This window comes from Homo sapiens, chromosome 1 (genome assembly GCF_000001405.40).
Source record: "Homo sapiens chromosome 1, GRCh38.p14 Primary Assembly".
NCBI classification, from domain to species: domain Eukaryota; kingdom Metazoa; phylum Chordata; class Mammalia; order Primates; family Hominidae; genus Homo; species Homo sapiens.
This window is the reverse complement of record NC_000001.11, coordinates 16,132,839-16,155,184: the sequence shown is the minus strand read 5'-3', so window position 1 is coordinate 16,155,184 and position 22,346 is coordinate 16,132,839. Positions and strand designations below refer to the sequence as shown.

The window sequence follows — 22,346 nt, the reverse complement described above, 5'->3', positions numbered from 1 at the left end:
AGCAAGGGTGACTCAGAACGAGGAAATGCGGCAGGTGGGGGTGCGGCCTCCCAAGGTGTGGAGCTGTCAGCCCAGGGCCACCAGGGAGTCAGGACACCCGGGGGTGGGGGACTGAATCACCCACCCCCGCCCCAGTGTTCCCGGAGCCGCGCCGAGTGAGGGGCCGCAGACTTTGCTCATGGCGCAGCGGGTGCGTGGTGGGGGTGTTGTCCCTCCGCTAGGGTCAGGGCGAGGATGGGGGCTCCTGCCCTGGCCGAAGACCTTCCTGTCCACCCAGCCCAGGCCAGCTTCAATTTCCAACAGTGAGGGCAAGGCTTCCCCTCCTGCCTGGGCAGAGCGAGGTTTCCGCAGGCTCCACAAGGGGGAAGCCGGGAGGAAACTTGGGCCGGTGAGAAGTTTCCTTCTTTTTTTTTTTTTTTTTTTTTTTTGAGACGGAGTTTCGCACTTGTTGCCCAGACTGGAGTGCAATGGCGCAATCTCGGCTCACTGCAACCTCTGCCTCCCGGGTTCAAGCTATTCTCCTGTCTCAAGCCTCCCTAGTAGCTGGGATTACAGGTGCCCGCCACCAGGCGCGTCTAATTTTTGCATCTTTTAGTGGAGACGAGGTTTCACCATGTTGGCCAGGCTGATTCTGAACTCCTGACCTCAGGTGATCCACCCGCCGCGGCCTCCCAAAGTGCTGCGATTACAGGCATGAGCCACCACCCCCGGCCTGTTTCCTTCTTTTTCTGCCTCCCAAACTGGGTTTGGAGGTTTTGCTGTTCTGTGTTGGGAGGAAAAGAGGCCGGATCTGGAGCCGTTGGGCAGTGGCAGGTGTTGGGGGTGGCATCCTGTCTCAGTCTCTGGAGTGACAGGGCCCGGGTTGGGGTCTCAACCGGGACTTCTGGTTGCAGGAGCTCATGGCAAGGATTTCTGCCACCCTCAATATCCGCCCCACCAACGTTTGGTCCTCCCCCTTCCTGGGGGACTGTGGTTGGAGAGAAGGGGAGAGACAGCTGGAATCACTATAGGCCTTTCTCCTCGGCTGCCCATGGGGGGGTGGGGGATTAGGCGGGTGCTTTGCTGCTGCAGTCCCCAAGCTGGCCTGGAAGCCTGGAGCTGCCTTGTCCTTGTCCCCTGTGTCCACCTCTCCCCAGCCTGTGTGATTAAACCCCACCCCCACACCCCATGGGATGCAGGGGGAAAGGCTTGTGTATTGCACTGGGGTGGGGGTACATTTTTGCTTCGACTCTGAGTCCCCGTGAAAGAGTCCCTAGAGAAGTGTGCCTAGGTGGGGGTGGGCATGATGGCCTAGCTGGCAGCTGCTGGTTTCAGTTCCTGGGAATCAGGCTGTATGTGGTGGGTCTGCCTGGGGGTGGCTTAGGGGGCAGGCAGGAGGACACAGGTGCCTTTTTCACCTACCCCCAGGCTGCTTCAGACTTCTTTCTTGCCCCCTCACCCCTAGGCTATACTTGGTTGCCCACGTGGCTCCTGTTAGGTCATCAACAGCCACTGAATCTGCCCTCATTTTTACAAATGGGGAAACTGAGGGAGGCCCGAGCCCTTGCCAACCAGGGCCTTCTGGACAGAGGACCAGACCTGAGCATCCCGCTTCTTGGCTGCCAGAGCCAAGGCCCTGCCTGCTTTGTGGTTGGTGTCATGGTAGATTTTCCTGGGAAGCAGGCATAGCTGGGCAGGGGCCTGGGCGGGTGGCAGGGGGTGCTGAGCTGGGGTGCTGCTGATGGGAAGAGGGCTGGAGAGTGCCAGGAAGTCCTTGGTTTCTGGTTCTACCGGGGCCAAGTCTGCCCTCTGTCCCCTTTCCCTTTTCTTTCATGTTTTCCCCAGAGTCCCCACCTCCCTGCTTCCTTTAGGGATTAGCTAGTCTTGGTTAGAGAGGAATGGGGGAAGCGGGGAGGGAACCACAGCCTCGGAGGCTGCGGAGAAGGACCGGAGACCGGGAGTGGGTGGCAGTCCTGCATTTGTGGAAGAAGCTGTGGAGCAATGTGGACCCACAAAGATGGCACTTACGGTGGAACTCATGGCAAAGAAGGAGGTGTTTTTTGCTTTTTTTTTTTCCCCCCAGAAATGGGAAGGTAAGGGGATAGAGAGCTCATGGATAAGCCCTGCTTAGCCTAAGCCTCTCCAGGAAGCCGTCTGGGTCAGCCGAGGGGCTCCCAGGCTCCCACCCTTTCCAGAGAAGCGGGAGCCTCTGTCCCTGGAAGAACCTGGGGAAAGAGCCGCGCCCGCGTCAGGGCGGAGGGACCCAGCGCTGGGCGCCTCCTGTTCCTGGTGGTTGGTTCGAGGGAATTTCCCTGGGAGGGGGCCGGGGTTGGAAACCCCTGCAGGGGGGGCTCCTTCCTGTGTGAGGGCTTCTTTTCTTCTCCGATTGAGCCCTGTGCTACTTCTAGAGCCAGGCCTAGGCTGGAAAGGGAGGGCCCTCCATGCCAGGTTAACCCTTCAGAAGCCTGGTAGCGGTGAGCCCTCTCACTTGGGCACAGACCTCAGCCTCCTGTCAATCTAAGGGGGGGCTGCAGGACTGTGAGGAACCTTTGTCCTTCTACCCACCCAGCTGAAATCAGGAGCCTCCAGATTCCTTCCTGTGTAGCTGGAACATTCCATTTGCTAGTGGGGTTAGTGAGTTTCAAAGCCCCGGCCCTGGGCATGTCTGAACAAATCCCTGCCCCTGCCCACCCCGCTGCCCCCAGCCACCCTCCCCTATCCCCACAGCCTCTGTCATGGGGCCGGTGTCACATTGGATTTCCTCTTGCCTGTCTGGGCTGCCTGACCCTTCCTAGAGAGGTTTGGCCCCGGTCAGTAGTGGGGGTGGCAGCATTTCACGCCCCAGCCTGGGGGCCTTCAGCCCAGGTAGGAGGGCCATGTCACTTCAGGAGGCGGTCTTCAAGACCACCCTCAGAGCCCAGCTCCCATCTCCACAAACCAGGCCATCCCTGCTCCCAGCCTGCCTGGAGCTCTGTCCACCCTTTGAGTCCTTCTCCGGTCCTGGCCTTGAGGAATGGGGCTTCTGAGGCAGATCCCTCATGCTCCAGGGCCCAAAGGAAGCATTGACTTGGTTTCTTTACCCCCACCTTAGGGCTTTACCCTCTGAATCCATCTTGCATAGGTTCTATGCCCCGGTTTCTCCTATCTCCTTACCCTCTAGGGAGGGTAGCACTTATTGGCAGCTACCTGGACTTTACTTGGAAATAGAGTGGGGACAGTACCTAGGGTCTTAGGTTTTGTCTATGGCCTCTGAGCCTGGCAGAGAACCTGGGGTGGATCAGTGGGAGGTGCCCAATGGCAGGACTAGGTCTAGGGAAGACCCCGGGAGTGTATCCCTCCGCCAGGCTCCAGTTGCCTCTCTGGGAACAGGATGGTCCTGACACCTGGTCTCTGGGCCTAGAATGTCCCCTACAAGGGCTTTTATTCCTGATCCCCCAGGAACCTCTGGCACCCCTGGCAGGGCAGTGGTCAGGATGTGAGGGGCAGGGGTGGTGGGAGTGACTTTCCCAGGGAGGGGACCTCACCAGCTGTGTGTATCTTTGGGCCCCTCTTAGGGGCCCTATGGGTCCAGGGCTTTATCCTGCCTGCTCTGTGGCTTTTGTGGTGAGAAGATCGGTTTCCAGATACCCTCTTCCCTCCTCCACCCTGGAGCTGTTCCCACCTGTTCACAGCACTCTCTTCTTGGAGTACCGCAAGATGCACGTGTACATATAGGTGCATATGTGTGTGCTACATGACCTGAGTGGGGTTGGTGTGTTTCCTGCTGGGGGGAATGTGGCAGAAGCAGACACCAGTGTCCCTAAGGCCCACATGCACGTGAAGTGCTGCCAAAGGGCCTTGTTCAAGGAAGCAGAGGGGGCGGTGTGGTGTCACTTAATACCCTGCTCAGCCCAGCTCTCTGCCCAGCTGCTGTTCTCCTGCCGGGCTGAGCTCCCTGGCCTGCTCTGCCCAGCTGGGGACTAACGGAGGGGGACAGGATGGCTGGAATCCTGGCCTGGGAGACTGGAGGCCCAGTCCTGACCCCAGCCTGCTGTGTGCCTTCAGCTGGGTTCCATCCTTTTTCTGGGCCTGTTTCCCTCATGAGTCGAGGGATGATTTTCTTGGATATGGTGACCCTGTGTGGTGGGGTCCCTCTCGCTCTGTCTGAGAGTTGGGGTTCCTGGAGGGATCCTCACCTTTCCTGCCATGGTCTGACTCCTGAAGACACCCCCAGGCTCACCCCCTCTCCCTTCTCCCTTTCAGTGGTACTGCTGGACTTTGCTGCAGCTGGAGGGGAGCTCGGCTGGCTCACACACCCGTATGGCAAAGGGGTATGTAAGCCTTCGGGGTGGGGAGAGGTGTGAGAATGGGGCTGCTGGTCCCCTGTAGAGATGGAGAAACTGAGGCCCAGGGAGCGTGGGGCCTGGCTTCAATTCAGCAGCTCAGCCAGGTCTCAGGCTCAGGGTCCAGCTTCTCACACCAGGCTCAGAGTCAGCCGGCCCAGGCCAGGGCTGGATGGGCGTGGGAAGGTACGAGGGTGTGGGTGTAAGCCTGAGAGGTGGGGGGAACTGGGGAGACAGAGAAGGCCCTAGCGGAGCTGGGCCTTCCATGTTCCAGAAGGGCTGACAGTCAGAGGGATCTCTGGCACCACCCATCCACCTCTTGGGAGGGAAGGGGTTAAAGATGCCCCCTGTCTTGAGGTCTCAGCCCAGGAGGTGAGGGGTGAAGAAGAGACAGGGAACAGGAAAACCTGATCAAGTTCCTTCCTGCCCGCCCCTTTCCCACCTCTAGCTGTTGCTTCCCCTTCCTGTGGGGGGCTGCATTTCTCTGCCTCATTCTCACCCAGGTCTTCCCCTCTATGCCGTCCTGATGTGACCAGGAATGGGGGCAGGGGCTGGGGGTTCTTCCCCTGGCTGTGTGTGTCTGCTGTGTGATCTTGGGGAAGATGTGGCTCTCGGGGCCTCAGTTTCCCTCTCTATACAATGGGCCCTTGCTGAGTTTGTCCTGGGACCCTGAGCTGAGAAAGGGGGCTGTCTCCCAGGGGCTACTTGGAATAGTTCCCAGAGCTGGCCAGATCTGCATGAGTCGAGTTCTTGTCCCCGGTCACCCTAGCTCTGGGCAGGCTTGGCTGGGGTGTAGCCCTGAGCAGGTTTCTAGGATCCTGGAAGTCTAGCTGGGAGGGAACACGGGTCACCTAATACAACCCAGTCTTTATACAGAGTGGGAAACTGAGGCCCAAGGGCATGTAGGGCCTTGGCCAACGCCACACAGTATAGCCCGGGCCTCTGTCCTCCTCCCCTGTGCTTTCATTCATTCTTTTGTTTATTCATTCAACAAACGCTTCCCTGAGCACCTACTCTGTCTCAGGCCGGCTCTCGGGACACAGGACACAGGTGAATTAGATGCAGACTCTGGCTGAGGAGCTCAGAATCTCATGTGGGAGCCCAGATGTGGGTGTCCCCATGTGCCGTGCCAAGTGCACTTTGGTAAATGGCAAGGGGTACAGGGTAAAGGGAACATGGCAACTTTGGGAGTTGGGTGGCGGGGGGCACCTGGCCCAACTGTAGCCTAACCTGGGAATTCTTTCTGGAGAAGGCTGAGTTATGATCCAGGGAGGGAGGAACATGTTCATCTGCTGCAAAGCCAAATTCTAAATGACGGAGAGCATCATCCGTTGTTTTTGACTTAATGCCACTCCTGCGTTTGCCAACACACATGGGTGCATGGTGAATAATACCAAGAGTAACAATAATCATACTGGCTGCCCGTATGCCTGTTACCTTGTGCCAAGCACTGTGTTCAGCCAGTGTAGACATTCTGTCCTTTATCCTCACAGCAATTCTGTGAGGTAGGGGGTCTTGCTCCCATTGTACAGATGAGGAAATTGCGGCTTAGAGAGCATAACCCACCTGAGGTCACATGGAGTCCCGGACTCCACCTGCAGGCTCACAACCTAATAGAGAGGTTTGGCTTCCAGACATGTGCCAGAAAGACCAGGGGCCAGATTCCAGCTCAGCCACTTATGGATGCAGCCCCCACCCGCCTCAGGCCTCAGTTTCCTTCACCGTAGAACCCGGAGAGCACGAACTGGAAAGCATCTTCCTAGTGCCCTACTCTGCCACCTGGGCCTCAGTTTCCCCAGGCACCTGCCCACACTAACCTGTATCTTCCCCCCACAGTGGGACCTGATGCAGAACATCATGAATGACATGCCGATCTACATGTACTCCGTGTGCAACGTGATGTCTGGCGACCAGGACAACTGGCTCCGCACCAACTGGGTGTACCGAGGAGAGGCTGAGCGTATCTTCATTGAGCTCAAGTTTACTGTACGTGACTGCAACAGCTTCCCTGGTGGCGCCAGCTCCTGCAAGGAGACTTTCAACCTCTACTATGCCGAGTCGGACCTGGACTACGGCACCAACTTCCAGAAGCGCCTGTTCACCAAGATTGACACCATTGCGCCCGATGAGATCACCGTCAGCAGCGACTTCGAGGCACGCCACGTGAAGCTGAACGTGGAGGAGCGCTCCGTGGGGCCGCTCACCCGCAAAGGCTTCTACCTGGCCTTCCAGGATATCGGTGCCTGTGTGGCGCTGCTCTCCGTCCGTGTCTACTACAAGAAGTGCCCCGAGCTGCTGCAGGGCCTGGCCCACTTCCCTGAGACCATCGCCGGCTCTGATGCACCTTCCCTGGCCACTGTGGCCGGCACCTGTGTGGACCATGCCGTGGTGCCACCGGGGGGTGAAGAGCCCCGTATGCACTGTGCAGTGGATGGCGAGTGGCTGGTGCCCATTGGGCAGTGCCTGTGCCAGGCAGGCTACGAGAAGGTGGAGGATGCCTGCCAGGGTGAGTGACGGTTCTGGGTTGCAGGGAAGGGGGTTCTGCATTCCCAGGTTCTGGTCTTTAGCTTTGGAATCATGGAATCTTGGTAAGCTCATCCCTGCTTTGACACACATTAGTTCTGTTAGTGGAAATTATAGATCCTTCCCAGACATCAGTTTCCTTATTAAGGCTGGACTAACTCATTCATTAAGAATGAATGAATTGTGGCTGGGCACGGTGGCTCATGCCTGTAATCCCAGCACTTTGGGAGGCTGAGGTGGGTGGATCACTTGAGCCCAGGAGTTTGAGACCAGCCTGGGCAACATAATGAAACGCCGTCTCTACCAAAAACACAAAAATTAGCTGGGTGTGGTGGCATGCACCTGTAATCCCAGCTACTTGGGAGGCTGAAGCACGAGAATCAATTGCTTGAACCCGGGAGGTGGAGGATGCAGTAAGCTGAGATCGCACCACTGTACTCCAGCCTGGGGTGACAGAGGAGATGCTTGTCTGAAAAAAAAAAAAAGAATGAATGAATTGAGAAACAGCAGAATGTGGAGTTTATGATTGATGACTCTGAAACAAGAATGCCTGTGTTCAAATCCCAGGTCTACATTTTTAGCTGTGTGGCTTTAGGCCATTTCCTTGACCTCTCTGTGCCTGGGTTTCCTCATCTGTAAAATGGAGAGGATCATAGCGTCTATCTCGTAGGGTGGCTGTGATAATCAAATGACTTAATAGTAAAGTGCTTAGGTCAGTGCCTGCCACATGAGTACTTTTAAATGTGGCTGTTATTTTTGATTCATCCCACGAATGTATACTGAGTAGCTCTGGTACAGCGGCACTGTGGTCCCACGGTGGAGTACCAGGAGCAAGTTCCATGTCTGTTATCAGCTCACTATGTGGCCTTAGGCAAGATACTTAAACTCCCTGGGCCTCAAACTCCTCTTTCGTACATAGAAGTGACTGAGTTGGACCCGGGGTGCACATCCCCTGGCTGCATATCAGGATCACCCGCGGAGCTTTTGGGAAATGCTTCTGTTGAGGGAGAGGTTGGAGGGGGGCCAAGGGTCTGCCTTTCTTGTCTGAATGTCCCCAGGGCCACAAATTTCCCATTGGGACCTCTATTGATTTTCCACTGGGGCCTCTATAGATGACACACTGGGCCCAGAAAAGGGCCAATTCATTCAGACTCTCCTTGGGGAATGAGGCTTGGGCATTAGTGAGTTCACATGGAGGAAGCCGTGGCGTGGTGTGGCCAGGGCCTGTGACAGCGGAAATCTCCACAGCAATGTGGATTTTCAATGGGTGACTTTTTCTGGAAATGGCCATGAGGCAGAGCATTTGTGGAATGCAGGCCAACCTTTGGAGGGCTGGCTCATTCCCTCTCTCTGGCAGCTTCTTTGCTGAGATAAGCGGGACGTTAAGGAATTGGAGGTTTAGTGGCTGCGTTGCACACACCTTGGCTAACTCCCCCCTCATCTCTGGTCTTGGGTTTCCTTTGAGTAAAATGAGAAAGTTCAACAGCACCAGCAGACTTTATGCTTGTTTTCTAGCCATGGATCCTGCAGCCCCTGGAGGGGGTTGAAGGGTTGGAGGACACTGAAGCCCTTTGTGATGGGCCCTACTTGCCTCCTAAAGCAAGTCCTCAGAACCTTACTTAACACGGTCTGTAAACCCCCCGATGAGAAGTTCCCTACGAGCTTTCTGGCCATAAGCCTGTGGTGTAGGCTCTGCTCCGGCCCATGCCATCGCCCCCTTGTCTTCCCAGCTCCCCTCTGCTGAGCGAGCCCCCCTTCCCCAGGCGGCCCCTGCTTTAGGTGACCTCGAATGCATACTCTCAGTTTCAGACAATGAGTGCGGTTGAGGGGGCCGGGACGAGGCAGCCCAGTGGGGCGAGCAGGCTCCTCCCACATGACATCCTCGCACAAGAATGCGGGGGTGGGGGTGAGGGGCAGCTGAAAACTTTCCACAGGCTGGTGAGGCAGGCCCCGCAGAGATAAGTGGACGGTTGGGGTGGGGGTGTCTCTCCAGGAAGCGGGGCAGCCTTCCCTCCTCTAGAGGTGGGGGGTCAGGGTTCTGGCAGATTTTGTTTGCAGAGAGCCGAGCAGCCCCCTGTTGGGAAGATCAGCCCAGCAGGAGGACAAGTTTCCAAGAGCGAAATTTCCGACTTAGTTCGTGGAACCCTGTCAATCGCTAGTCACCTACTGCCGGATTGTTCCTCCTCGGGATCCTCCCACCAAAATTCCTTTCAGTGTGGCTGGGTGCCGGTGCGCGAGATGCCAGGAACGCCCGGCTGGCTCCTCTTTATACCTCTAGACTTCTCTCAGCAGCCCCTGGCCATGCTGCTGCTGGAAGTGATGACAGTCGCTACCGTAGACGGGTGTCGTCCGAGGGGCAGGCGCTGAGCCAAGCAAGCGCTTTATCAGACATGCGAGCGGAATCCACACCGCCTTTCTGCGTGGCAGGGACTGTGATCAATCCCATTTGATAGACCAGGAAACTGAGGTTCAGAGAGCTAAAGAGGCTTGCCTGAAGTCACACAGCTAGGATGTGGCTGCATCAGGATCTGAATCCAGGCGGTGCAGCGGCGCCCAGGCTGCAGGATGGGTCAGGAAATGGGGCGGGAAGTGACCAGTTCCTTTGGAATCCCTGACTCAGCTCCTGGCCCTGGGGTAGGCTCTCTGGCCAGCCCTGGGGATGGCAGGGTCTGTTGCAGGGGCTTGGGGGCTCTGTTGGAGGCAGGGGTCCTGGAGAGGGCACTGCTGGGTACATTGAGGGAGAACCAGAGGGAGGCACAGGGTCTGCCCTCCCTGCCGGACCCTCCCCAGGCCTGGAGACCCAGATTCTTTCACTGGGGCTCCTGCTGGTGACAAACCAGACCCAGAGCGAGGCGGGGCACCCTGAGGTCACCTGGCACCTTGTCTAGGTTATTCCCAGTTTGTCCGTTTCTCCTCAGGGTTCTTTCCCCAGGAAGCCCAGAGCTCAGGAAAGAGTTAAGTGGGCAGAGGAAGGGAGGCACCTCCCAGGTGCTGTGTGCGGCAGGTGGGCACGCTGCCCGGAGCGCTCCCATGAACTATGTCAGGAATGAGCCAGCTTCCCTTGGTTCCCCCGCCCTGCCCCCGGCCCTGCCTGCGGGGACAGTGGAGTCGCTCGGGCTGACCGCTGTCCCCCGGGGGCTGCTTTGTCTCCATGTCTCCGCTTCCTGTGCTGGCCTCAGCAGCTGGCGGGGCCCCTGCTGGCGCCTCAGCCCTGGGGACCGCTGGTCAGGTGAGCAGGTGGCCAGCAGCCTTGGCCAGTGGCTCAGCTGAACAGCTGGGAGGCCAGAGCTGGGGTTGTGGGGAGTTGGAGATTCCCTCCTGAGAGGCTCCTGCTCCCTCAAGGGGCCCAGCCCCTTGGGGAGGTCCCCTCCCTACTGTAGTTTCATGATCCCCTAGTTCATAGGGACACCGCATTCCAGGCACCATGCTGGACATCTCATAAGCAGGGCTTTCTTCCATCTTCACACACAACCCAGAGAGGATGAGGACTTGATCCCCATTTTACAGATGAGGAAACTGAGGTCCGGAGAGGAAGCAGTGAACAGTGACCAAAAGAACGGGGGCCTGGCACAGGAAGGCAGTTGCCCCTGGTGTGTGTCCTTCCACCCACAGGCTGTATGACCTTAGCAGGTCCCCTTGGGGTCCCACCCCCATCTGTAAAATGAGTGGGCTGGACCTGTGGCCCTGAAGGACGCTGTCAACCTGGTGATCCGAGCTTCCCTCCTGTGGTTTCCCACTGGGGCTCAGTCTGAACACCGGGGAAGCTGTTGACTGTGTGACACAAGTGTGGTGAGGAGGGGTCCCACTGCTTACAGCCCCAGTGGCCTAAAGTCCATAGCTGACAGGGAGGAGTCCCCTGGCCAGGGTATGTCTGTGGTTAAGGTGGTCTTTAGACAGGGTGGTCTCGGGCCATGGCAGGGGCTGCTGGCAGGATTCCTGTTTCATCAGATCACAGTTGGTCCCCCAGGTGGAAGACTCTGGGAGCTGCTGGCTGTGGCTCGCAGGCTTTGTCCCCTGCTGGGAAGTCCCACCAGGCCTTATTTCTGTGATGTTTCTTCTGGCCTACAGAGGTGGGACCACGGTGGCAGCACCCCCAGCCCCCCATGGTGGCTCTCACCTCTGTGCCCTGTCTGCCCCACCCTCAGCTCACACTGGGGGCAAAGCTAGGCGCTGGCATCTCCGCTGGGCGGGCACCGGCTTCTCCCTCCCTCCCTCTCTCCCTCCTGGAGGTAAGTGGGTCCCCAGAACGGAAGGAAGGAGGCGAGGGAAAGCAAACAGAAGATGAAAGGCTGGAGGCAGGACAGGAGCGGTAGGCGGGGGCTGAGGTGGGGAGTGGTGCTTATCAATGGTGGAGGAATGTGCCTGCAGATAGCTCCCTAGGGTGTGTGTGAAAGGGACAGGGTGCTGGCAGCCGTCAGGCCCTGGGGGCAGCCCCCCTTCTGCAGAGACGACAGGGCCTGCTGGGAGCAAGAAGCCACCAGGGCCTGAGGTTGTCAGCTCCCTCATTTGCTGGGTCAGTAACCCATAGGTCGCCATTTGCCGTCTGTCAGGGCCCAGAGACAAAGTCCAAGCTCCACATCCCTGGGCCAAGGTGGTTCCTGCGGTCACCTGCTGGGCCTGGCTTGGGCGGTGACTGGCCCTAGGTGAATTGCCACCATGACCTCTTGACCTCACAACCTTGCCATTGCCAGCCTGGGAGGTGGCTGTGCCTTGGGAGGAGGGGCTCCACTGGGGGCTGGACTTGCGTCACGATAAGGGCGTCTGTCCCTGAGTCACCTCATGCTGCCACCTGAGGGGCGGGCATCAGGAACTGGAAAAACCAGGGTATAGCCGGAGGTGCAGCCACTGTGCCCCAGTTCCCCTGCTCGGAGTAGCCCAGGCCTGCCAGACAACCGGGGCCAGAACAGCTCTCCACAGGTGTGCCACAGGTGTGCCAAAGTTAGGCTCTTGTGTAAGGCAGGTAGGCATCCTGGTGGACCTTCTCCACAGTGTCTCTCTGGGCGCTGAAACACTGCTCATTTCTCTGGCCCTGGAGTGCATATTTCACATGCACATGGTAGGTTTGCCACCCATTCTCTCTCCCACTCACTCTTCCATCCACCTGTCCACCCATCCACTCATCCATCCATCCACCCCTCCACCCATCCACCCCTACATCCATCCATCCATTCATCCATCCATCCATCCATCCATCCATCCATCATCCATCCATTCACTCGTCTACCCGCCAACCCACCAAACCACCCATCCACTTGTCCATTCATCTATCCATCCATCCATCCACTCATACCCCCCTCCACCCATCCATCTGCCCACCCCTCCACCCAACCACCCACCTATCCACCCATCCATCCATCCATCCATCCATCCATCCATTCATCCCTCCACCCACCCACCCTCCTGCCTATCCATCCCTCATCCATCCATCTACTCATCCATCCGTCCACCCACCAACCCACCCATCCACTTGTCCATTCATCTGTCCATCCTCCGCCCCATCCATCCATCTATCCACCCCTCCACCCAGCCATCCACCTATCCATCCCGCATCCATCCATCCACTCATCCACCTGTCCACCCACCAACCCACCCATCCACTTGTCCATTCATCTGTCCATCCTCCCCACCCATCCATACATCCATCCATCCAACCACCACTCCACCCACCCACCCATCCATCCCTCATCCATCCATCCACTCATCCACCTGTCCACCCACCAACCCACCCATCCATTTGTCCATTCATCTGTCCATTCATCCACCCACTCATACCCCCCTCCACCCATCCATCCATTCATCCACCCACCCATCCATCCACACACTCATCTACCCATCCACCCACCAACTCACCCATCTATCCATCCATCCATCTGTCTGTCCATCCATTCAGCAAACATTAACTGAGCACCGCTGGGCCATGGGACACAGATAAATTGGTCTCCATTCCTGCTCCTCAGGAGCTGCTGGTCTCACGGAAGCTCCTGATACATGCAGGAATAATTTCAAATGGAGCATAAAAGCCAAGTTTTGAATTCCCCTGGAGCTGAAACAGTGTTTATCTGTCTCACCATCGCATCCTAGCACCCAGCATTGTGCCAGACACGTATGAAGTGCCCATTTCTATTTGGTAAACATAAGATTAATAGATGCCCTAATGGGGGCCGGGGGGCCAGGAATTGGGCAGTCTGGGAGGGCTGTGTAGAGGAGCTTAAGCTGGGTATTAAAGGATGCATAGGAGTTTGCTGGTTGGCTAAGGAACAGTAGGTATCTGGTGTATGTGGGTGTGTTTGAGTGTGTGTGACCCCTGTCCCCACTTGCCCGCCTAGAATGCCAGGAAATCCAACTAGATAAAGTCAGGAAGAACACAGGGGCTTGCTGGTGTCCTACTCATGAACTCTGGGACCCCTGAGCACTTGGAAACTCTGGCGGGGCCCTGGAGACAGCCCCTGGTAGCTTTGTGGTTGGAGGAGGGGAAGCACATCTCGTCAGGCAGGCACATGCCCTGTTGACGCTGCCTCTCTGCTGTATTATCTGGCACATCCGCAGCGGAAATCTCTCCAAATTCCCTCTTTCCTGGCGGCAGCAGGCAGGCAGGCCACCCCCGGGCGCTGGGGCCAAAGAGCCCATCTCTTCCCCCACTTCCTCCTCTTGGCATAGAAGCAGCCACACGGTGGGGAGTCGGGGCATTGTGAGGGTTTGCAGGTGGCTAAAGCCTCCAGTGGGTCCGAGCCTGGGCTGTGGGGGTTTATGGCCCCTGCCTGGCCTGAGAGCCTGGGCTGGGAACGCCCCCGAGCTTCCCAAGTCAGCTGGCCCTGGACCACCTGAACCAGCACTGAGCCAGGTGAAGTCTCCTCCACAGACAAGTCAGGGCATTTGGGGGAACTGACCCCAGGATAAACATGGCCCAGCTTTCTGGAGTCTCAGTTTTACTCACAGATCTGGTGGAGGAGAGAGCTATTTTTGTATCATGCAGATATGTTATGGGGAGGGATGCAATATACTCATGGGTTTCCAAATACAATAGGAGACTTGAAGACATTCGGGGCTTGAAGGAGACCACTTCAGCCACCCCAACCAACCCCCCTGGGCTGGAGTCTACACTTTTCTGCTCACAGACACAAAAGTGCCCAGTTTGAGAAGATCTGTGGTGGGGAATACCCTCCCCTCCTCCACAACACATAGACCCACAGCTGCTCTGAAATTCGTCAGGAGTTTCTGGCTTTTGAAGTGGGTCAGGCCTTATCTCCTCTCTCTTCAGGCTTGTTTCAGAATGTTGATTTATCTTTGCTCCAAATTGAAGTGTTCCTAAGAACAGAAGTGGGAAAGGAGGCCCGGTGAGGTGGCTCACGCCTGTAATCCCAGCATTGTGGGAAGTCGAGGTGGGAGGATCACTTGAGGCCAGGAGGTCAAGAGACCAGCCTGGGCAACAAAGACACACCCCGTCTCTAAAAAATAAAATAGGCCGGACGCGGTGGCTCACGCCTGTAATCCCAGCACTTTGGGAGGCCGAGACGGGTGGATCACTTGAGGCCAGGAGTTCGAGACCAGGCTGCATCTCTACTAAAAATACAAAAGTTAGCCAGGCTTGATGGCCGGTGCCTGTAGTTCCAGCTACTCAGGAGGCTGAGGCAGGAGAATTGCTTGAACCCAGGAGGCGGAGGTTGCAGTGAGCTGAGATCCCACCACTTCACTCCAGCCTGGGCAACAGAGCGAGACTCCATCTCAAAAACAAAATAAATAAATAATGAAAAAGGAGTGGGAGAGGAGAGAGGCTGAAAATCAGGCATCCTAAGTTTGAGTTCTGGTTTCCTTCTTGGGAGCTTGGTGACCTTGGACAAGCTTTTTTGTCTCTCCTCACCTCCAAAGTGGAACCAGCGCTAATAGTGCCTGTATATAGCAGGTCTATTGCGAGGACTAAATGAGGGTACAGTGCTTAGCCCGAGCCCTGCGCATAGTAGGTACTGTCATTGGGACTCCAGGCTCTGTGCAGAGCAGGAGTCGGGTCCCGGGCCTCCTCTGTCCTGCTGCATGACCTGGGACAAGCCCCCTTCCCTGCCCTATGTGCCTGAGCTCTTGCAGGGCCAATGCTGAGGGTCTGCAGAAGCAGGATGGACCAAGGGGGTGAGAGCGGCTGTTTGTGTGGTCCCTGGGCCAGGGTTGGGAGGGGACAGGGATGCAGCCTGGCTCTGAGAGCAGAGTCATCAGCAGGAGGTCACTATCTGGCACCTTACAGAGCTGGGTGTCCTTTGAGTCCTGTTCCCCTGACTCCTGGTCCCCCTCTGCACCTCTGCTCACACAGGGGACTGGATGACGAGAGTCTTCGCTCCAGATTCTGTCCCTGAGAGTTAGCAGGTTTGCTTGGGTCAGGGCACTTGAAATTGCTTCCCTGGAGGGGGTTGTCCTTAGGCCATTAGGGGCCAGGTTGTCCCCAGGGTCTTGGACAAAAGCTGCCTCCAGGCACAGATTTTTCCTGACGGCAGGGGTCTGACTTCTCCACATCAGACCTCCAGCGGCTTTCCATTGCCTCCAGGATAAAGTCCCAGCTTCTTGGCCTGGCATTGAAGGCCTTTCTCAACTGTTTTATTGCTTGCTGCTCCCCACATTTGTGCCCACAAACCCACTCATACCTTCCGTATTAGTCATGCACTTTCTCACTCCTAACTCCCTCTCCCAACATCTATCATTCCCCTGCTGAACTCCTATGCAGCCTCTGAACCCCAGCCAAAATGTCCCCTCTGTGACTTCTCAGACTCCTGGCCAAGGTTGTTTCCCCTTCTCCACCCCCTTAGCTGTTAGCTTGTTTCCTCCCTCTGTCTTGCAGACCTTGTCAGGTGCTTCTGCTCCCTGAGATCAGGAGTTTGTTTTCATCTTGGTGCATACCCAGCACTGGGGGTGGGCCAGGCACAGAGCAGAGGATCATTGTGTGTGTGGTGAACACGGTGCTGAGGTTGGAGGTGTCTCAGGACCCTCTCATCAGAACAATCTGAAGGATTATAATTGTAGGGTTGTTGGAGGAGCTCCCTAGGGTGACCTCTACCCACCCTGGCCACTTCAGCAGCTGCCCAAGCCCTGGACAGCCCTGCACCGTGAGCCCTGTGTCTGGGCAGCTTCCTGCCTGTAGGGCCAGGAAGGGGCTTAGGGCAGGGGCGGGATGAGACAGGATAGGGCGGTGGGAGGAAGAAGCCCCCGGAGTCAGGTGCCTGAGCCCCCAGCCTGCTGGGCCAGGACAGGACTGGCCACTGGGGGAGGAAGAGTCACTTCCTGGCTGTCCTTGTGAGTGGCGGATATGACTCGGTCCTGGAAGCAGAGCCAGAGAAAATGCCAGGGGGCTTGGCCTTTCCTGCTTCCTGGTCAGCCCCGGATGGAAAGGAGGGCAGGTCCTGGGCTGGAGGTAACACCTGCAGGGATGGCATCCTGAACTGATGAGGCTGGCCAGTGAGTCAGGGTGGTGGTGACAGTCAACAAACACACATGGTCAAGAAGAGGCAGTCATTGCCCTGGGCAGCTCTCAGCTACCCAGGTGGGGACCGGACAGGCTAGTCTGCATGGAGGAAAGGGGATGAGGCCGGTGGGCAGCGTGCTTGGTCAAGTGCTGAGCTAGGCTGTGATGGGATTCTTGGTTGGCTGAAAGGCGAGGTATGGCCTTGAATGCCAGGCTCAGGGGCGTGGTGCTTCTTGCAGGAGCCAGTGGGGAGTGAAGCAAAGGTTTGCAGCATGTGTGTGAAGCACTTCCTGGGTGCCCGGTACATGCTAGGCCCTTGCCATGCATTTTTCCATCACAAGACATTTTGCCGATGAGAAAACAGGTCCATAGAGATTTACTGACCTGCTTGCAGGGCAGGGGTCCCTGGTGAGGGAATGAGACAGTCACGTGGGGTGGAAGCAGATTGAACTGATGTCCTTGTGCTCTGTCTGTCCTGTGTCCACCAGCCTGCTCGCCTGGATTTTTTAAGTTTGAGGCATCTGAGAGCCCCTGCTTGGAGTGCCCTGAGCACACGCTGCCATCCCCTGAGGGTGCCACCTCCTGCGAGTGTGAGGAAGGCTTCTTCCGGGCACCTCAGGACCCAGCGTCGATGCCTTGCACACGTGAGTCTTGCAGTGGGTCAGGGTGGCGTGACTGAGGGTGACGTGTCCGCCTGGGTCCAGCACAGCACTGACTCCTCCTGTCTGTGCAGGACCCCCCTCCGCCCCACACTACCTCACAGCCGTGGGCATGGGTGCCAAGGTGGAGCTGCGCTGGACGCCCCCTCAGGACAGCGGGGGCCGCGAGGACATTGTCTACAGCGTCACCTGCGAACAGTGCTGGCCCGAGTCTGGGGAATGCGGGCCGTGTGAGGCCAGTGTGCGCTACTCGGAGCCTCCTCACGGACTGACCCGCACCAGTGTGACAGTGAGCGACCTGGAGCCCCACATGAACTACACCTTCACCGTGGAGGCCCGCAATGGCGTCTCAGGCCTGGTAACCAGCCGCAGCTTCCGTACTGCCAGTGTCAGCATCAACCAGACAGGTGAGGTCCAGGGGTGGCAGCTGTGCCCTATGGGGCCTGCCCAGGTGGGGCTTAAGGAGGACGGCCATCTGGGGCTCGGGTGTGTTTAGAGAGAGGCAGCAGAGCAAGTGGTTAAAGGCACAGTGTCTAGAGCAAGCTTGTCCAACCCGTGGGCCACATGTGGCCCCAGCCGACATTGAATGCGGCCCAACACAAATTCGTAAATTATCTTAAAACATTATGATATTATTTTTGCAATATTTTTCCCTTTTTTTTGAGACAGAGTCTCGCTCTGTTGCCCAGGCTGGAGTGCAGTGGCTTGATCTCGGCTCACTGCAACCTCTGCCTTCCGGGTTCAAGCAATTCTCCTGCCTCAGCCTCTGGAGTAGCTGGGATTACAGGCACGTGCCACCACACACAGCTAATTTTTTGTATTTTTAGGAGAGACAGGGTTTCACTATGTCGGCCAGGCTGGTCTCGATCTCCTGACCTTGCGATCCGCCCGCCTCGGCCTCCCAAAGTGCTGAGATCACAGGCGTGAGCCACTGCGCCCAGCCTGCAATTTTTTTTTTTTTTAGCTCATCACCTGTTGTTAGTGTTGCTGTATTTTATTTGTGGCCCAAGACCATTCTTCCATTATGGCCCACAGAAGCTGAAAGATTGGACACTCCTGCTCCAGAGCCGCTTCTGAGCTCTGTGACTGTGGGCAGGTTACTTAACCTCTCTGGGCCTCAATGTTCTCCCCTGTAAAGTGGGATAATAATTGAGAATTGAGACTGGGCGCGGTGGCTCATGCCTGTAATCCCAGCACTTTGGGAGGCTGAGGTGGGCAGATCACCTGAGGTCGAGAGTTCCAGACCAGCCTGACCAACATGGAGAAACCCCATCTCTACTAAAAATACAAAAAATTAGCTGGGTGTGGTGGCGCATGCCTGTAATCCCAGCTACTCAGGAGGCTGAGGCAGGAGAATCGCTTGAACCCAGGAGGTGGAGGTTGCGGTGAGCCGAGATCGCACCATTGCACTCCAGCCTGGGCAACAAGAGCGAAACTCCGTCTCAAAAGAAAAAAAAAAAAAGAAAGCATTCAGCAAAAGTTAGTTCTTCTTCTTCTTCTTCTTCTTCTTCTTCTTCTTCTTCTTCTTCTTCTTCTTCTTCTTCTTTTCTTCTTCTTCTTCTTCTTCCTCTTCTTCTTTCTTCTTCTTTTCTTCTTTTCTTCTTCTTTCTTCTTCTGTCTTCTTCTTCTTCTTTTTTTTTGAGACGGAGTTTTGCTCTTGTTGCCCAGGCTGGAGTGCAATGGCACAATCTTGGCTCACCGCAACCTCTGCATCCCGGATTCAAGTGATTCTCCTGCCTCAGCCTCCTGAGTAGCTGGGATTACAGGCATGCGCCACCATGCCCAGCTAATTTTGTATTTTTAGTAGAGACGGGGTTTCTCCATGTTGGTCAGGCTGGTCTCGAACTCCCAACCTCAGGCAATCCTCCCGCCTCGGCCTCCCAAAGTGCTGGGATTACAGGGGTGAACCACCACACCTGGCCTTTTATTATTATTATTATTATTATTATTATTATTTATGCACTCGTAAATATGGGGCACCTCTGATGTGCCAGCCCCTGTGATGGGGCCAGGGTGGAGGCCTGGGGCTCTGGCCCTGTGCTCTGGAGCTGAAAGTTTAGGATCCTAGGTTGGGATCTAAAGAGCCTGGGAGCTGGGCGTGGTGACCACGCCCATAATCCCAGCATTTTGGGAGGTTGAGGCAGGAGGATTGCTTGAGCTCAGGCATTTGAGACCAGCATGGGCAACATAGGGAGACCCCATCTCTACAAAAAATACAAAAATTAGCCAGGTACAGTAGCATGTGTCTGTAGCCCCAGCTATTCAGGAAGCTGAGGCAGGAGGATCACTTGAGCACAGGAGTTCAAAGCTGTAGTGGGCCGAGATCATGCCACTGCACTCGAGCCTGGGTGAGAGAGCGAGATCCTGTCTCAAAAAAATGAAAGAATCTGGGCTGTGGAGGATGTGGCTCCACGTCCACTTGTCCCCCCAAACCCTGCCTGCTCGTAGGCAGCTTCTTACCCACTTCCCCCACTGCCTGTCCTGCCCAGAGCCCCCCAAGGTGAGGCTGGAGGGCCGCAGCACCACCTCGCTTAGCGTCTCCTGGAGCATCCCCCCGCCGCAGCAGAGCCGAGTGTGGAAGTACGAGGTCACTTACCGCAAGAAGGTAACTCCCAGAGGGGCGGGGCTGGCTCTAGCTGGGCCGACAGCAGGGGACAGGCTGGTCACATAGATGATCACCAAACCACCCAGCCATCTGAAGAAGCACCCTTCTGCAGATGGGGAAACTGAGGCCTGGGGTCTGCCAGGGGGTTACATCTCCCAAGGCAGCACAGCAGAGATTTGTACGAGAGAAGACATGGCGTCCTTGGAAGAGGCAGTCAGGGTGAGGACAGGGGCAGAATTTTGGGACCCCACACACTCAGTTTGAGTCCTGGCTCATGCATTTAGTGGTTCTGACCTTGAGTGAGTCACTTAATTCCGAGCCTCAGTTTCCTCCTCTGTAAGAAGAGCCTCAAGTTTGCTAACAAAGGCAAGCCACCTTGCTAGCTTGGGGTGGTCTCCAGCGGGCTGAGCCGAGGCCCCTGCCCTGCCCTCACTGCCTGCTCCTCCGCCGGCCACCCACCCACAGGGAGACTCCAACAGCTACAATGTGCGCCGCACCGAGGGTTTCTCCGTGACCCTGGACGACCTGGCCCCAGACACCACCTACCTGGTCCAGGTGCAGGCACTGACGCAGGAGGGCCAGGGGGCCGGCAGCAAGGTGCACGAATTCCAGACGCTGTGTGAGTTGGGGGACCCTGGGCATGGACCAGGCCAGGGCCCAGAACCAAGCAATTGAGACATCTTGGGAAAGGAAGTGAATCAAATAACTTAGAAATGCCCCTTTCTCGGTCACCGGCGGCCTGGGACAGCCCTTCGGGGACTGCCCCCAAGCCTGGGGAGGGGGAAGCATGGAAGGCTGAGGGGTGGAGGAGCCGGGATGTGGATTCACGACAGTGGTGTGAGGAAGTTCAAATCCGCATCTCAGAAAAAGCCAGAGCTTTGAGCCCCACATACCTGCAATACCTCCCGTGAGACCTTCGGGAAGGCCTCCGCTTGACCGTCTATGAAATGGGACTAAGTACCCTCTGGAGCCTTCCCAAGTGCAAGCACCCAGCACACAGTAGGGGCCCAGGTGTCTTGGGTGCAGCGCGGGTGTTGCTGTAATTTGTGGGGGAACTCCCTTGTCATCAGCTGATTTCTTCCACCAGCCCCGGAGGGATCTGGCAACTTGGCGGTGATTGGCGGCGTGGCTGTCGGTGTGGTCCTGCTTCTGGTGCTGGCAGGAGTTGGCTTCTTTATCCACCGCAGGTTCGTCAGAGCCCATACCCTGGCTCCACATGGGCTTGGGTGGGAAAATGGGGCAGGAACCTCCATTTCCTCATCTGAACGATGGGGCCCACAGGATGCTAGTCGAGTCTAATCCCTGCCTCCGGATGGTGCGAGGATATACGAGTTAGAGTGTGTAGCGAAGTGCCTGGCACGCGGCGGGGCCGGGACACGGGGGTCATTACCTCTGCTCTTGTTGTTATTAATGATGTGTCCACACTTCCTCTGGACACGCAGGCAGGAATCCCCGAGTAGCTCTAATGGGAATGCCTTCGTCACGACTGCTTAAGGGGCCATTCTGGGGCCTAGATCCTGGAGAGGGAGTCCTGGCTCGCTCACTTCCTCCCTGTTCCTCCACCCGCCTTCTCCGCACCCTCGGCCCTGAGAGTGGAGCTTGGGCAGCAAAAGCGGGGACTGGGCCGCATTCTGAGCACCCCAGGTCCTCCTAGGACCAAAGTAGGGCCAGGAGGCTTCCCTGGCCGGAGCAGACCTCACTGACCTCCCTGCATTTGGTTCCCCGTGGGGCTCTTTCAGGAGGAAGAACCAGCGTGCCCGCCAGTCCCCGGAGGACGTTTACTTCTCCAAGTCAGGTGAGACGCAGCCCCCGCTCCAGGCCCAGCCCTGCCCGCACCGTCCCCAGCTCTGTGGGGGAGGTGGGGGCAGCCAGGGTGTTCCCAGGGCACTGGGGTGGGGCCACAGGCTTCCGTGGGCAGCTCTGAGGGGTCCGTCCCCCACAGCCTGGTCCAAGTCTCTGAAGATCACGTGACCTTCTCCTCTGACTCCAGAGCACCCCCCATGGGGCCCCTCCTGAGCTGCCTGTGACCCCACCCCTTCTCCTTCCAGAACAACTGAAGCCCCTGAAGACATACGTGGACCCCCACACATATGAGGACCCCAACCAGGCTGTGTTGAAGTTCACTACCGAGATCCATCCATCCTGTGTCACTCGGCAGAAGGTGATCGGAGCAGGTGAGGTTGGCCCCCTGCCAAGGGGCCCTGAGGAGGCAGCGGTGGTGACACAGTGTGGGAGCCCTCATGCCGGGGCTGACCAGGGCACTCCCCTGACCCTGTCTGCCCACAGGAGAGTTTGGGGAGGTGTACAAGGGCATGCTGAAGACATCCTCGGGGAAGAAGGAGGTGCCGGTGGCCATCAAGACGCTGAAAGCCGGCTACACAGAGAAGCAGCGAGTGGACTTCCTCGGCGAGGCCGGCATCATGGGCCAGTTCAGCCACCACAACATCATCCGCCTAGAGGGCGTCATCTCCAAATGTGAGGCTTGGGGCCTGCCCACACTGGGTGGAGAGGGGCCACTTAGCAGGGGCTCTGTCTGTGACTGTGCCCACCTCCCCTATACCTGTGCCCACCTTCCCCCCACACCTGCACCCACCTCCTCTACAACTGTGCCCACTTCTCCCCAATACCTGTACCCACCTCCTAACACCTGTGCCCACCTTCCCCCCATACCTGCACCCACCTCCTTACACCCGTGCCCACCTCTCCCCATACTTGTACCCACCTCCTCTACACCTGTGCCCACCTCTCCCCGATACCTGTACCCACCTCCTTACACCTGTGCCCACCTTCCCCCCATACCTGCACCCACCTCCTTA

At 57.2% G+C, this 22,346-nt stretch overlaps 1 protein-coding gene across 6 annotated transcripts in view, besides 7 other annotated features; it reads left to right on the top strand.

Moving 5' to 3' along the window:
• EPHA2 (EPH receptor A2) overlaps positions 1-22,346 on the top strand; it is a 31,733-nt gene that overhangs the window by 885 nt on the left and 8,502 nt on the right. Inside the window, exons 1-11 of one of the 6 annotated variants that reach the window (XM_047448272.1) lie at positions 134-190; positions 4,222-4,289; positions 6,138-6,807; positions 16,755-16,910; positions 17,000-17,332; positions 19,415-19,530; positions 19,996-20,149; positions 20,618-20,717; positions 21,270-21,325; positions 21,579-21,704; positions 21,817-22,005. In XM_047448272.1, coding sequence (XP_047304228.1) covers positions 6,147-6,807; positions 16,755-16,910; positions 17,000-17,332; positions 19,415-19,530; positions 19,996-20,149; positions 20,618-20,717; positions 21,270-21,325; positions 21,579-21,704; positions 21,817-22,005 — 1,891 coding nt within the window. In that variant the 5' untranslated portion in view covers positions 134-190; positions 4,222-4,289; positions 6,138-6,146. The other 5 variants (XM_047448267.1, XM_047448259.1, NM_004431.5 and 2 more) reach the window with 5 other exon arrangements.
• Positions 3,668-4,303: an enhancer, noted in NCBI's record as "H3K27ac-H3K4me1 hESC enhancer chr1:16477377-16478012 (GRCh37/hg19 assembly coordinates)". NCBI's record gives its function as "activates a minimal SCP1, AML or CMV promoter by ChIP-STARR-seq in naive H9 embryonic stem cells {active_cell/tissue: H9 hESC(naive)}" and the evidence as "EXISTENCE:reporter gene assay evidence [ECO:0000049][PMID:30033119]".
• Positions 4,304-4,939: an enhancer, noted in NCBI's record as "H3K27ac-H3K4me1 hESC enhancer chr1:16476741-16477376 (GRCh37/hg19 assembly coordinates)". NCBI's record gives its function as "activates a minimal SCP1, AML or CMV promoter by ChIP-STARR-seq in primed H9 embryonic stem cells {active_cell/tissue: H9 hESC(primed)}" and the evidence as "EXISTENCE:reporter gene assay evidence [ECO:0000049][PMID:30033119]".
• Positions 8,165-8,693: an enhancer, noted in NCBI's record as "H3K27ac-H3K4me1 hESC enhancer chr1:16472987-16473515 (GRCh37/hg19 assembly coordinates)". NCBI's record gives its function as "activates a minimal SCP1, AML or CMV promoter by ChIP-STARR-seq in primed H9 embryonic stem cells {active_cell/tissue: H9 hESC(primed)}" and the evidence as "EXISTENCE:reporter gene assay evidence [ECO:0000049][PMID:30033119]".
• Positions 10,279-10,807: an enhancer, noted in NCBI's record as "H3K27ac-H3K4me1 hESC enhancer chr1:16470873-16471401 (GRCh37/hg19 assembly coordinates)". NCBI's record gives its function as "activates a minimal SCP1, AML or CMV promoter by ChIP-STARR-seq in naive H9 embryonic stem cells {active_cell/tissue: H9 hESC(naive)}" and the evidence as "EXISTENCE:reporter gene assay evidence [ECO:0000049][PMID:30033119]".
• Positions 10,808-11,335: an enhancer, noted in NCBI's record as "H3K27ac-H3K4me1 hESC enhancer chr1:16470345-16470872 (GRCh37/hg19 assembly coordinates)". NCBI's record gives its function as "activates a minimal SCP1, AML or CMV promoter by ChIP-STARR-seq in naive H9 embryonic stem cells {active_cell/tissue: H9 hESC(naive)}" and the evidence as "EXISTENCE:reporter gene assay evidence [ECO:0000049][PMID:30033119]".
• Positions 12,847-13,814: an enhancer, noted in NCBI's record as "H3K4me1 hESC enhancer chr1:16467866-16468833 (GRCh37/hg19 assembly coordinates)". NCBI's record gives its function as "activates a minimal SCP1, AML or CMV promoter by ChIP-STARR-seq in naive H9 embryonic stem cells {active_cell/tissue: H9 hESC(naive)}" and the evidence as "EXISTENCE:reporter gene assay evidence [ECO:0000049][PMID:30033119]".
• Positions 13,464-13,513: an enhancer, noted in NCBI's record as "active region_259". NCBI's record gives its function as "activates an Ori minimal core promoter by ATAC-STARR-seq in GM12878 lymphoblastoid cells {active_cell/tissue: GM12878}" and the evidence as "EXISTENCE:reporter gene assay evidence [ECO:0000049][PMID:35858748]".